At 42.6% G+C, this 14,997-nt stretch overlaps 1 annotated feature.

Moving 5' to 3' along the window:
• Positions 9,560 to 10,311: an enhancer, noted in NCBI's record as "OCT4-NANOG hESC enhancer chr20:771562-772313 (GRCh37/hg19 assembly coordinates)". NCBI's record gives its function as "activates a minimal SCP1, AML or CMV promoter by ChIP-STARR-seq in primed H9 embryonic stem cells {active_cell/tissue: H9 hESC(primed)}" and the evidence as "EXISTENCE:reporter gene assay evidence [ECO:0000049][PMID:30033119]".

Here is a 14,997-nt window from a genome sequence, read left to right on the forward strand (position 1 = left end):
GCTCACTGCAACCTCCACCTCCTGGGTTCAAGCTATTCTTCTGCCTCAGCCTCCTGAGTAGCTGGGACTACAGGTGCCCACCACCATGCCTGGCTAATTTTTTGTGTTTTTAGTAGAGATGGGGTTTCACCGTGTTAGCCAGGATGGTCTTCATCTCCTGACCTCGTGATCCGCCTGCCTCGGCCTCCCAAAGTGCTGGGATTACAGGCGTGAGCCATTGCGGCTGGCCTATAGACCATTTTTAACCCTTTATAATTTTTGTCAAAGAGCAGGTTAGTGCTTTAAGAAAAACCCATTGTGCTTTTATTTTAATACTCAATTTACAGAAAAACTGGATGATACACCTTTAACTTTAGCCAAGATGTTTACACACAGTATTTCCTTTACAATTAACCTTCCAAAAGTTGCTTAAACCTTCATTTTTATTTTATTCAACTTAAAACAATTCTTTAACCTTTTAATCTAGGTAAAAATCCACATTCTCATGCCTCCTTATAATCTTTTTACCAAAAGTATATGTAAACTGTTTTTTCAATAGTCTTAAATACATGTTACACTGTTAACTTTTTTTTTTAAGGCCTACGTAACAAATAATTATTCTTGGCTGGGTGTGGTGGCTCACGCCTGTAGTCCCAGCACTTTGGGAGGCCGAGGCAGGTAGATCACCTGAGGTCAGGAGTTTGAGACAAGCCTTGCCAACATGGCAAAACCCTGTCTCTACAAAAATACAAAAATTAGCTGGGCGTGGTGGTGGGTGCTTGCAATCCCACCTACTCGGGAGGCTGAGGCAGGAGAATCACTTGAACCCGGGAGGCAGAGGTTGCGGTGAGCTTAGATTGCACCACTGCACTCCAGCCTGGGTGACAAGAGCGAGACTCCATCTTGGGGGGGAAAAAATGGGAAACTGGAGAGAGAAAATTACATTTCAGAAACTATAACACACCTGTTATTAAATTCCAGTGTTGCCTAATGTTGTTCAATTTTTATTACTTTAAATTAAATTCTAATTTTTCTGACTACGAGTTTCCAAAATAAGCTTTGTTTTCTTAAAGCCCTATGAACTGAAAACTAGACGTTTCAGCAGGCACTGCCTCTAAACGCCCCCCAGCCATCACAGGAGGAAACCTCTTCACTGCTGGAGCTGACAACTAATAACTGAGCGTGCCTGGAATCCTTTGCCCCCACATCTAATAAGTCCATGGAACCCAGGGTAATTGAGATGGCATCTCTTACAAGAATCAACTTCTGGGTCAGGTGCGGTGGCTCACGCCTGTAATCCCAACACTTTGGGAGGCCAAGGTGAGTGGATCACTTGAGGTCAGGAGTCTGAGACCAGCCTGGCCAACATGGTGAAACCCCATCTCTACCAAAAATATAAAAAAGTTAGCTGGGCATGGTGGTGCATGCCTGTAATCCCAGTTATTCGGGAGGCTGAGGCATGATAATCACTTGAACCCAGGAGGTGGAAGTTGTGGTGAGCCGAGATCGCGCCATTGCACTCCAGACTGGCGACAGAGCGAGACTCCATCTTAAAAAACGAAACAAAACAAAAAAACAGGAATCAACATCTGGATACATTACACTCGAGTCAAAGCCTGGAAAGCTGAGGAAGCAACCCCTGATAGCCAAAGGAACATCCTAAATATCAGTGTAAAGAAATAGGAAATTTTAAGCTCATAAAAGGTAAGTAACTGAGTGAGAACTACTTATCTTACTCAGTCTCACCCCTACCTCACCAAATACTTTTAGATGTTCCTACCTCTCCTTTTAAGACAAATATTAAAACTTTTTAATGGAAATTATTCACTACACCACCATTGTGGGAACTGCTTTACACACTCTATTATTTGCAGTGGGACTATGTACTACAGCACCCTCAGGATGGAATATCAGACAGAGAATCTCAATTATGGTACCATTTTGCTTAATTATTATCCTCATAGCAGGAATAACAGTTACTAACAGCAAATAACACATGGGCCTTTCCAGACATGTGCCTCTGCCTGTCATTGGGTGAGGAATGTTGTTTCTATATCAACCAATTAGGCCTAGTAAGAGGTGCTGTTGAAAAACTTAAGGAAAGGGCTATACCAAAACAACCAAATAGATTCTTGGTTTAGGAACAAAATCATAGCATGGGTCATCCCATTCCTGGGACCTTTCCTAATAATATGCCTAGGACTAATGTTCTTACCCTGCCTAATTAACCTTTTTCAAAGATTTTTAACTGACAGGATCATGGCCATTTCACAGACAACTACCCAAAAACATCCACAGACAGCGTTACTGCTACAGTTAATCCAAGACCAGAAAACTCTGTCCCCTCATCAGCAGGAAGTAGCCAGAAAGAACACCCTGCCTTTCATCCTTTTTATAACTATAAGGTCTGGATTGACAGAGCAGGAGCATTGCCATCTTGGACAAGCACTGCCATTCTAAAGTTCCCCTTGATCAAAAACCACCTAAATCCAAAGGGCATCAGCCTAATGGCTAAGGTCAGCATGACCATAAACCACAAATGACATCTCTGACCAGAAACATTCCAACCATAAGTTAAAGCCCTCCCCGACCAGAGACGTGCCAGCCCCAAGATAACCTCCCCTCCAGGTGGAGAGATGTCAGCCCCAAGATACCGTCCCTTCCAACCAGAGACATTCCAACCCTCAATAGACTTCTCCCCTACACAGGAACATTCCAAGCCTGTGATAAGCTCTCTTACCCAGAAACCAGTAAATACCCTTAGTATGTAAGAGAGAGCATTCCTGACTGAAATTGGACAGAGGCCCCTCTCAGGTTTATTCTTCAAAATAAACCTGTCTTTGACTGTTGAGCCTCTTTTCATGTTTCTTTCCTCTTTCTTGAACTCTTACAACACCTTTGTTAGGCGCAAATTTTCAGTGCTGCAAAAGAAATAGCACTCGAACATAAATTTAATTTTCTCAGCAAGGCAATTTTACTTCTATAGAAGGGTGTGACTTGTGGATGGAACAATGGTGAGAGCACACCTGAACAAGGGAGGGGAAGGGGTTTTTATTCCTGATGCAGGTAGCCCCTACTGCTGTGTGGTTCCCCTGTTGACTAGGATTGGACCACACAGTCTAAGCTAATTCCGATTGGCTGTTTTAAAGAGAGCAGGGGTACGAGTCGGAGTAGCGGAGTGAGTAGTTTGGCGGGAAGGACAGTTAGGAACAGGTGACTAAAGGTGACTCAGGTCAGTGCAGGTGACCAGGGGTGACTCAAGAAGGAGCAGGTGATCAGGGGAATAGATGTGAACTACTGATTAGAACTGGTGGAAAAGGTTGTTTACTGAAACTAGGGGCAAGGAGGCAAAGAGAATGAGAAAGTTAAACTTTAAAATGGAGAACAAAGAACAGGGGACCTGAATATACTCATACATTGGTTCCTTGGAGAGGATCTCAGAACTCATTGTACTTAACAATTTACAGGCTGAAACATTTGAAAAGGAATTTGTTATATCCTACAATTTCCCCCTTTCAATTTTCATAGTACTTCCTCTTCAAACTTTTTAAACATGTCTTGGCTTAGCTGCTCGACTTAATCCTCTAAAAGAAAAAGCTTATCTGAATAAGGTGGAGGTGAGTTAAGGAAGATTTTAGTAAGTGCTGCTTTTATAAGTCTTTGCACTAGCCCACAGATGCATGGTATGACATAACACCTAACAAGAATGAGTACAGCTATTACGGCTGCAAGAGAAGTAAGAATTGAGGCTGTGATTTCTTTCCATTTACTGAACCCCCTTTCTAGCCACCCTGAGAAAGGGTTATCGACTCCAGAATTTTAGCTAGTTCATTGGATAGAGTGGTAAGTCTTTATAAGGCCCTTGTTATGTTCCCAGTGTGGGCAGTGTTATTTGGGATAAAGGTACAACACTGAGTTTTAATCATAATACAAACACCACTTTTTCTGCTAATATCATATCTGGTGCCATTCTGTTTTCCCAGGCCATCTGGCTAGTGGGCCCCAATTGTTCTGCTATCCCTTTGACAGCATCCCTGGTGTAATTAATAAACTGCTGCTGATTATAATAGATGTAATTTATCCAGTCTACATTTTTATTAATCGTCACCCATGAAAATATTGACTTAAATCCTGCAGCTATTTGATCTCGGGCTTTAAATTCATCTGGTACTCCTAGTGGAACTCCAGTAATGTTTATATAAACATGGGGGTCAAACGACTCATGTAAGGCACTTCTTTTACAATTTTCTTTTTTATCATGTTGACGGAATGCTAGAGTGAAAGGGATGGCCAATTGGACTAGAGCACGAGTGCTGCTCTAATTGCTTGGCAGAGTATCCAGCAATAGTGCCCCTCAATGCCACCACACACCTGCTCAGGGATGAACAAGGGCAGACTGATGGGTAAGCTCTTGAAAAGGCTTGGTTTCACCGCACCCTGTTAAGTCTCCAAGGAATGCTAACTTTTCCCCCTGCCGTGAAAGGGACAGGTGAACTTAACATCAGGGGCTGGAGGCTGGATGGCCCTCCGGGCTGACCCACAGGGCTCTTGACCTCGGGGAAGAGCAGTGAAAGCGAACAGCAGTGAAAGAGTTTTGCCTGACTCATTGCCCCGGCTGTGGGGTTCTGGAAGAGAGCTACCATACAGCTCATGCCCTGTCCATGAGAGGACCACTCGAGGGGAAAGGGGACAATTTGGGTCTCTGGCCTGCCTGTCGCACAAGCAGTCACTTTTGTTTAGCATGCGAACAGAATATTTAATCCATTTCAGCCAAGCATTTACATCCTGGTACTCTGTTTCAATTGCTATAGTTTGTTTTAAATCTATAACTTCTACAACAGCTACTTTGGTTTTATCATTGGGTATATAACGAAAGAAGATCTGGTTAGTGGAGAACTTAGGAGTGGGAGAAGGGGGTGCAGGAGTTGAGGAGGCAATGAAGCACATTTCAAAGGATCCTCTGGGGTCCTTCCCTGAGACTTCTGCTCCTATACCATAGAAACGGTACTCTGGGGAGCAGAGGTGGTAATCTGTACTGGATTACATTGGTTCATCTGACAATGGGGTGGTCCATCCTTGCTCCTTGGTAGTCCATAAGCCATTAGACCAGCTAAAAGTTCTGTTCTAGGAGGGCAAGATTCCTAGTTCATACTGGGACCATCATCAATATCTTCCCAGACTAACTGATCCCAGTTAACAGATTTTCAGTCTGAGGAGAGCCAGGAAGGACAAAGATACTTTTCTGAAGGGGAGAGTTGCCTCTGGTTTGGCAGATCTCCACAGGTCATCCCAAGGCAAGCATCAAAAGTAATAGTTTGGGGCGAACTTGTTACATAAAGAACGAGAAGACTAGCAATAGAAGGGGAAAAGAAAGAGATGGAATGTAAGAGGATCAAACCCGTTTTAGCTTTAGCTTGGTTGGAGTTGGCCCTGGAATAGCTGTCCATGATTCTGGAGGGGGTGGTGCTCTTTTGACCTAGGTGTGATGAGTCCATCCTCTTTCTGCTGTTTGAACTGTGGTCTCGGTGGTTAGAAGCAACAGGTAGGGTCCTTCCCAAGCCAGTTCGAGTTTCCCTTCCCTCCAACTTTTGACAAGGACACAGTCCTTAAGCTGATGTTGGTGTACTGGAAACTGTAGGGGTGGTACCTGTTCTAAAAGACCTTTAGTTCTGAGGGAAGAGAAAGTGGAAAATAAACCAAGTATATAATTTCTGAGAAACTCATCTTTTGTTTTGAACATAGGAATGTCAGCAGTGGAGTGTAAACAGGGCAACCTACACAACATTTCATAAGGGGATAAGCCAACATCTCTCTGAGGAGCAGTTCAGACTCTCAAGAGGGCAATGGGAGAGCATCTATCCATGGCAACCGAGTCTCTAAGACTAATTTGGTTAGGTGGCCTTTTTTTTTTTTTTTTTTTTTTTTTTGAGAGGGAGTCTCGCTCTGTCGCCCAGGCTGGAGTGCAATGGTGCCATCTGAGCTCACTGCAACCTCCACCTCCCGGGTTCAAGTGATTCTTCTGCCTCAGCCTCCCTAGTAGCTGGGACTACAGGCACGCGCCACCATGCCTGGCTAATTTTTGTATTTTTAGTAGAGATGGGGTTTCACCATATTGGCCAGGCTGGTCTCGAACTCCTGACCTCGTGATCCACCCGCCTTGGCCTCCCAAAGGGCTTTTTTTTTTTTTTTTTGACAGGGTCTCTCTCCGTAGCCCAGGCTGGAGCGCAGTGGCGCGATCTCGGCTCACTGCAAGCACCGCCTCCCGGGTTCACGCCATTCTCCTGCCAAAGGGCTTTTTTAAAAAATAGTTTGGTTCATTCTTTCCACTCTTCTTGATGAAGGTAGGTGCCAGGGAGTATGATATTCCCATGTTATATCCAGTATCTGGGCTAATTTCTTAATGACATGTACAGTGAAATGAGTCTTATTATCTGAATCAATGTTTTCTATTAATCTAAACTTGAGTATAAGATTTTCAACTAATGCCCTGTCTATGTTATTATCAGTTGTACTTGAAAAGGAAATAGCTTCTATCCAATGAGTAAGGTGATCTACTATACTAATAAATACTTCAGATGATCAGTTGGAGGCATCTCTGTGTAGTCAGTCTGGATACTTTGGAATGGCCTTAAGCCTGGACTCCTTCCCCCAAGGGGTAATGTTTTACTAAACAACTGTCTGTAACCTGTTTGGCCAGGGTATAAATCCTATGCACCCATAAACTCTGATGAATGTGTCACACGAGGCTTGGGGCCTCCAATGGGTCCTTTAATGCAGTTGGAATAAGACTTCCCTCATAAGGGGTTTGGATAACATTTCTCTCTGGTCTAGCAATATCCATTTTCCTTCTGAATTCTCTTTAGCACCTATTTTTATTAGTTTTTAAACCAAAGAAAGCCAAACACCATTTTATATTTGATAATGCTTCCTGTGTGATTTTATACCAGATAAGCTAAATTTCACCTTTATATTAGTGTGCTATTAATGTTAAACTCAATTTTAATAAAATCTTGTAGACATATTTATTCAATTTTAATGTCTGACCATAAGGTAAAATTGTTATAGACTCTTTCTAACGCTTCATAATTTTTGTTAAAGAGCAGGTTAGTACTTTAAGAAAAACCTGTTGTGCTTTTATTTTAATGTCCAGTTCACAGAAAAACTGGATGACACCCCTTTAACTTTAGCCAATATGTTTACACACAGAAATTCCTTTACAATTAACATTTCAAAACTTGCTTAAACCTTCAAAACAATTTTTTAACCTTTTAATGTAGGTAAAAATCCACATTCTTATGCCTTCTTATAATCCTTTTACCAAAAGTATATTTTACTTTCCTTACACGCCTTGAACATAAACTGTTTCTTCAATAGTTTTACATTCAGGAGGCCTAATTACTTTTAAATTATACAACATTTCTTGCATAAATTCCCTTTTATAACATTTTCCACGACTTTCACAGACCATCTTTGACATGACTTAAATTTCTGACTTGTGAACATTCCTTTCTTTAAACAACCAGTTAATTTATTTTAGGATGAGAATTTACCGTATAAGATTCTTTTTACATAAATTCTCCTTTTTTCTTAATGTCAAAGATGATAATTGTTTTTTCCCAAAGCAAACTTCCCTCATGTCTGTGGACTAGACTGCCTAAGGCCACAAGATTAGAAGTTAGGATAATACATGTTACACTGTTAACTTTTAGCAAATTTTACTTCTGTTGAAAACCTTGTAAGTTTGGAATTTTAATTAAAGGAAGGCTTTTTTGGTGTCCGGGGACATGGACAATAGTTATTTTTTTGGCAACTGAAGGTTATTTAATACTTGGGTGATTAATTCCTCGTGGACCGGGTCTTGACCTTTGCTATTAATAAGACCTGGTTCAGTCCAAATTTTTCCACATGCATGAGCCACTCCAAAGGCACACTGAAAATTGGTATAGATGGTTCCTTCCTGGTTCTGTAAGTACTTTAAGGCTTGGCTGAGTGCAAACAGCTCACACGTTTGAGCAGACCAATTATTAGGCAATTTTCCTAACTCTATCTCTACACCTTTAACCATTGTTCCCTATTTCTCATTCAAACTTGGACATAACGGTATGTGAAAAAGAGCCTCTTGTGACTGTTACCTCTTTACAATGGAATGTTAAGCAACCCCTCAGAAAGTAGGGAGTAGCAAATCAAATCTTTGTAACTACATTTCAGCCTTTGCCGGTTGAAATGTCAGAGCCCCGGCATCAGAAAGTGGTCAACTCAAGGGCTGATAAGAAGAATTTACCAACAACAGTATAGGTTTGAAAAGTAAAGTTTTATTAGAAAGAAAGAACATTGCAGAAGAGTGCAGCGAGGTGCCTCAGCAAGAGGGGACTGAGAGGGCTGTGGTGGATATTCCTTAGGCGCATATATGAACCTTAAGGCAAAAGCTTGAGGGTAATTTGGAGCATACTAGCCACGTAGGTTATGATAAATGGTTACATTTGTAGTTATTTTGGTGCCTTAATGTCAGCAAGGATTGCACAGTGAGTTTCGCATAGAAATTCTGGTTACTACAAAATTTTTGAAAGACCCCTGGAACCAGATGCCAACTTTAGATATGTCGATGAAGAGTCAAACTCTGTAAAATATTTGAAGAGATTTATTTTGGGCGAAATACGAGTGACCATGGCCCATGACACAGCACTTAGGAGATCCTGAGAACATGTGCCCAAGGTGGTTCGGGCGCAGCTTGGTTTTATACATTTTAGAGAGGCACGAGGCATCAATCAAATACATTTAAGAAACACATTGGTTTGGTCCAGAAAGGTGGGACAACTCAAAGTGGGAACTTCCAGACTATAGGTAAATTTAAACATTTTCTGGTTGACAATTGGTTGAATTTGTCTAAAGACCTGGGATCAATAGGAGGGAAATGTTTAGGTTAAGATAAAACATTGTGGAGACCAAGGTTCTTTTGAAGTCTTATAGTGGCTGTCCTTAGAGACAATAGATGACAAATGTTTCCTATTCAGACTTTTAAAAGCTGCTAGACTCAAAAAAAAAAAAAAAAAAAAAAAAAAAAAGGCTGCCAGACTCTTAGTTAATCTCAGAGGGCCTGGAAGAAAAAGATCTAGCTATATTAATAGAGATTATTTACAGATGCAGATTTCCCCCCACAAAGGACAGCTTTGCAGGGCCATTTCAAGATATGGCAAAGAAACATGTTTTTGGGTAAAATATTTTTGCTTTCTTCTTTGTCACATAATGTTATGCCAGAGTCAGATTGGAAAGCAAGTCAGATATATAGGTTTAAATAAAACCCATCTGATGAGAATTTATGGTTTGTAGGGCATGACTCCCCAGACCCCTTAGATAGGAATTTCAGCAAAATAAAAAGATCAGAGCTTAGTCCTCATAATCAAGAAATAACCATAAAAATGGGCAACCCTATGGAGTAGCCATTCTTTTATTCCTTTACTTTACTAATAAATTTTCTTTTGCTTTGCACTGTGAACTTGCCCTGGATTCTTTCTTGTGTGAGATCCAAGAACCCTCTTGTGGGGTCTGGATTGGGACCCCTTTCCGGTAACGATTATACTTCTAAATTCCTCAGATAAGGAGTTTTTGTCTCGGGCTGCTTCAGGGTCACCAGGTGATTTTTGCTCTCCTCACCCCTTTGTTCAGCTTCTCTGTTTTTGCCTATGTACACAACTCTCAGATTTGGCCACTGGGGAGAGCAAAGTTATACCTGGTGACCATCAAGCAGACCATTCAGAGACAAAACTCCTTATCAGAACTCCTTATTCAGAAGCAATTAGACTTCCCTATTATCTAAAGCAGGCATCTCATTCCAGGCTTCTTTCCCCCAAATTTATAAGTAACTAGAATTTCTATGCATCTCTGGAATGCATGCATATCAAAACTCACGGTGCTGAAAATTTGCATCTGTAAAGAATCTCTATTAACATAGCTGGATCTTTTTCTTCCAGGCCCTCCCAATCCTGAAGAGATTAACTAAGAGTCTAACACCTTTTGATGGTCTGAATAGGAAACATTTGCCATCTGTTGTCTCTAAGGGCAGCGAACATAAGACTTCAAAAGAACCTTGGTCTCCACAATCTTTTATCATAACCTGAACATGAGTCTCTTGCTGATATTAAGGCATTGAAACCACCTTTGCAAAATTATTACAGACAGCATCATTGCAGGAATCCAGGACACTGGAGTAGAGGATGTTCCATACCTTTGGGTTACAAGCCACCCCCAGGACCTTGTCCTCATTGCAAACAAGAGGGTCATTGTGATATGGAAGGGGGGCAGGGGAGTGCTGGGTACAGAAATGCAGGGTTCCTGGTGAGGGCTCCACCCTTGGGCCTGTGCCCACAGACCTAAGTAAGAACAGGCACTCCTGTTTTCATGCCTGAATGTTGTATTTTCCAAGACCACTCTGGCCCACCACATCCCCTTCCTGTGTCCATATTGTTAAATATGAATTCTAAATTTCTCTTCAAAGAATTAATATGTCAGTATGTTCAATTCTTTGACTTCTGCTTTTAAATTTAACTTCCTCGTAAAGCAACCTTTTTCGATTACCTGCTCCACCCTGACTCATTCCGATTACCTGCTCCACCCTGACTCTTGCAGGTTACTTGCTACCTGCTCCACCCTGACTAATTATTCTCCACCCTGCATAACCATTTTTTTTTCCCGCCAAAGCACTCATCCTGTCACACTCTTTAAATCTGCCAATTGGAATTAGTTTAGCCTGTGCAGTCTAACCCTAGCCAATAGGGGAACGACACAGCAGCAGGAGCCTTGTGCATTAGGGATAAGAACCCCTTTCCCTCCCTTGTCCAGGTGTACACTCACCATTGCTCTACCTGTGAGGGTGCACCCTTCTATAGAAGTACCTTGCCTTGCTGAGAATTAAAAAGAAAATTTTATATTCGAGTGCTATTTCTTTTGCGGCACTGAAACTTTATATGTAACAATTTGGGGGCTCGCCCTGATTACATTTCCCTCTGGGGCAGTCTCTGGTTCTCTCTTGTGAGGAGCGCTCCGCCCCCTGTGGCGGCCTCAGCCGGGAGAAATCAGAACCCACCCAGTGCGAGGAACAACCCGAGCTGTCAGCAACAGGGGGGAAGAAAACTGGCCGGCAACCTAGCTTAAAGAATCCTCACATACTGCAGCGACGACTCTGCGCACAGAGCAAGGAAGGAGAAGCCGCGGGAGCTGGTAAAGTATTTCCTTGGTGGTCGGGACCAAGGTAAGAAAGCCACGGGGGTGGTGGGCGGTGAAGTACTCCTTGGTCAGGGTGGCTTAGAGGTTAAAAAGAGGTGAGACATCCCCATTGGCGGAGATTGAACCTCACACAAACCTCCAGTAGTAGAAAAGGCAAGAAATTTCCAGTGGGGAAATTGAGCCTCACCCCAAAAGGTAAGAAATTTCCAGTAAGGGAAAGTGAACCTTGAACCTTATCCCAAAACCATCAAGATGGGAAATATCCCAAGCAAGACAGGGAGCAAGGGGGATAAACATGGTAACAAAGATATCCCTCCAGATGGCCCCCTAGGTCTCATGCTAAAACACTGGAAGGATAATGAAAGGATACACATAGGAAAAAGCAACAAATGGTAAAATATTGCTGTTTTATTTGGAGTCAGGGACCCATCCTCAGTCCCTCAATCTTCTGGTCAAAGTTTGGGTCAAATGAGAATGTAATGTGTCAGCTTCTAATCCGATACGTTAATGATAAAAGTCCAGTGTCTCAAGAAGAACTAGGCTATGCCCTTTGTTGGAGGCAAGGACCTGCCCTCCTATTTCTCTTAAAAATAAATAGGGAAGAACCCAATCTGGCACCTCAAAATGAAAAGTCAGAGGAGCCAGCTCTCATGCCTAAAGACTCCAGTGCTGCATGGTATCCCCTAGACCATCTTCCCCCACTCAGTGTCCCCAAACTTTCCCCTCAGACAGCCACTGCCACCTCAGATCACCACTGCCACCTCAGATCCTGTTCCAAATTCCCCCTCTACTCACGCTATCCCTCCTCCTTATAACCCTGACTGTTGGGAATTACCATCCCACCAGCCTGTTCTCTCCCAACCTAAAGACCCCTCTCTAAAAAGACTCCAGCGTGAGGTAGAACAATGTAAAAAAGATATTCAGAATTTCCTATTTCCCTCCGTACCTAAGAGGTCAGCCCCTACCCTCTTCCCTTTGAAAGAGGTACCACAAGTTGGGGGCGGGGGGGGGGGCATTGACTTTGTAAATGCTCCCTTAATCAGTTCAGAAGTCCAGAATTTTACAAAGGAGCTTAAACTGCTGCTGGACGACCCTTACAGAGTGGCAGACCAAATTGACCAATTCTTAGAACCTCAGTTATACACTTGGGTCAAGTTAATGTCCATCTTGGGCATCCTCTTTTCAGGGTAAGAAAGGAGTATGATTCTTAGGTCTGCTATGGTAGTTTGGGAATGTGAGCACCCTCCCAATGAAAACGTTCCTACCACGGACCAGAAATTCCCCGCCCAGGACCCCCCATGGGAAAATAACAATGCAGATCACCGGGAAAATATGCAGGACCTAAGGGAGATAATAAAAGGAATTCAGGAATCAGTACCCTGAACCCAAAATCTTTCTAAAGCATTTGATATACAACAGGAAAAAGATGAAGGGCCTATGAGATTCCTAGACAGACTGAGGGAGCAAATGAGGCAATATGCAGGCCTCAATTTGGATGATCCCCTTGGGCAAGGAATGTTGAAACTCCAATTTTTCACTAAAAGTTGGCCAGACATTTGAAAAAAAAAGTTACAAAAGATAGACAATTGGGAAGACCATCCCTTAAGTGAGCTTCTCAGGGAAGCTCAGAAAGTGTATGTGAAAAGGGACAAAGTAAAACGAAACAAAAGACAAAACTTATGTTTTTCACCTTCCAACAGATGGCTCCAAACCCAGGTACTTCTAGATAGAGTTTCCAGGGAGCCAGAAACTATAAAGGGTCCGAATCCTCTTTTAAAGAACCCCAGCCTCCATCTGGAGGACCAGGGTCCTTGTCTACCAAGCCCCCTAAAGAGTATGGGGGAGAAGGGTTAAAGAATCCCAGAACTAAGGGGAGGAAGGACAAAATAGGTGCTATAGATGTGGAAGAGCAGACCACTTCAGGAGAGGATGTTCTGAACTAAGAAAGGAGAAAGAAGCCCTTTCACTCATGACTTTCAAGGAAGAATAGCGGGGTCAGGGGCTCTGTCTCTTTTATCTTGAGTCCCACCAGGAGCCCTTGATAAATTTGGGGGTGGGACCTAAACATGAGCTTATCACCTTTTTAGTTGATTCGGGGGCTGCTCGCTCCTCTGTTTCCCCCCATCTAATGTTGTCTCCTTCTTAGAGGAACTTTTAGTCTCCAGGGTAAAAGGTGTAGGATTAAGAGCAAAAATTTTAGAAAGCACTGAAGTTAGATACCAGGATCGCTCAGCTTATATTCAGTTCTTGTTTATCCCTGAAGCAGGAACTAATTTACTGGGGAGGAATTTAATGTTAAAGTTGGGCATAGGTCTACAAGTCAGCCCAAGAGGATTCCTCACCTCATTAAACCTACTCACCACCGCAGATGAAAAATATATTAATCCTCATGTCTTGACCAAAGAAGGAAACCAAGGGAAACTCTAAGTCCCTCCGATCCACATCAAGCTAAAAAACCCAGGGGAAGTAGTAAGAAGGAAGCAATACCCTATTCCCCTAGAAGGTAGGATAGTGTTGAAACCTATAATTGAAGGCCTTATTTAGGATGGGCTTCTTGAGCCCTGTATGTCTCCTTATAACATCCCAATCAAGAATCAAGAAATCAAGACTGCTACCAGCCAGTCAAGAAATTAGATGGGTCATACCAGCTAGTACAGGACCTTAGAGCTATCAACCAAATAGTCCAGAGTACCCACCCTGTTGTCACCAATCCTTACACCATTCTTAGCAAGATTCCATATAATCATCAATGGTTTACTATAATAAATTTGAAGGATGCTTTTTGGGCATGTCCCCTGGCTGAAGATAGCTGAGATATATTTGCTTTTGAGTGGGAGGATCCATACTCAGGGTGGAAACAACAATATCGATGGACCGTCTTGCCCCAAGGGTTCACAGACTCCCCTAAACTTTTTGGCCAAATTTTAGAAGAAGTACTAGAAAAAGTTGTCATCCCAGAACAAATATGCCTTCTTCAGTACCTGGATGACATTCTTATATCTGGTGAAGATCTAGAGAAGGTAACTGACTTCTCTACACATATTCTTAACCATCTGCAGTTTGAGGGGCTATGAGTCTCAAAAAGAAAGCTTCAGTATGTAGAGCCTGAAGTTAAATATTTAGGCCACTTAATAAGTGTAGGCAAGCGAATAATAGGGCCTGAATGAATTGAGGGAATCGTGTCCCTACCCTTGCCTCAAACTAAACAAGAACTCAGGAAATTTTTAGGGTCAGTCAGACACTGTCGCTAATGGATTGACTCATATACACTGCCCCGTAAACTGTTCTATCAAAAACTTGCCCAGGAGAAGCCTAACCGTCTCCTGTGGACTTCTGAGGAAGTTGATCAAATCGAGAGGTTGGAGGAAAGGCTCATAACTGCCCCTGTTTTAGGCTTACCCTCCCTAGAAAAGCCATTCCACCTTTTTGCTAATGTGGACAGTAGGGTACCTTCGGGAGTGCTGACTCAAGAACACAGAGGCCGCCAGCAGCCCGTAGCCTTCCCATCAAAGGTCTTAGACCCAGTCACTTGTGGATGGCCTCAACGCATCCAGTCCATCGCTGCTATGGCAATACTAGGTGAGGAAAGCAGAAAATTAACCTTCGGAGGAAAATTGACATTAAACACGCCTCACCAAGTTAGAACTATCTTAAACCAGAGAGCAGTGAGATGGCTTACTGACTTGAGAATCTTAAAGTGTGAGGCCATTCTGTTAGAAAAGGATGATTTAACATTGACCACTGATAATTCACTCAACCCAGCAGGTTTCCTAACAGGGAATCCACATCTAAGGAGGG

Source organism: Homo sapiens, chromosome 20 (assembly GCF_000001405.40).
Source record: "Homo sapiens chromosome 20, GRCh38.p14 Primary Assembly".
In the NCBI taxonomy this organism is placed as follows: Eukaryota; Metazoa; Chordata; class Mammalia; order Primates; family Hominidae; genus Homo; species Homo sapiens.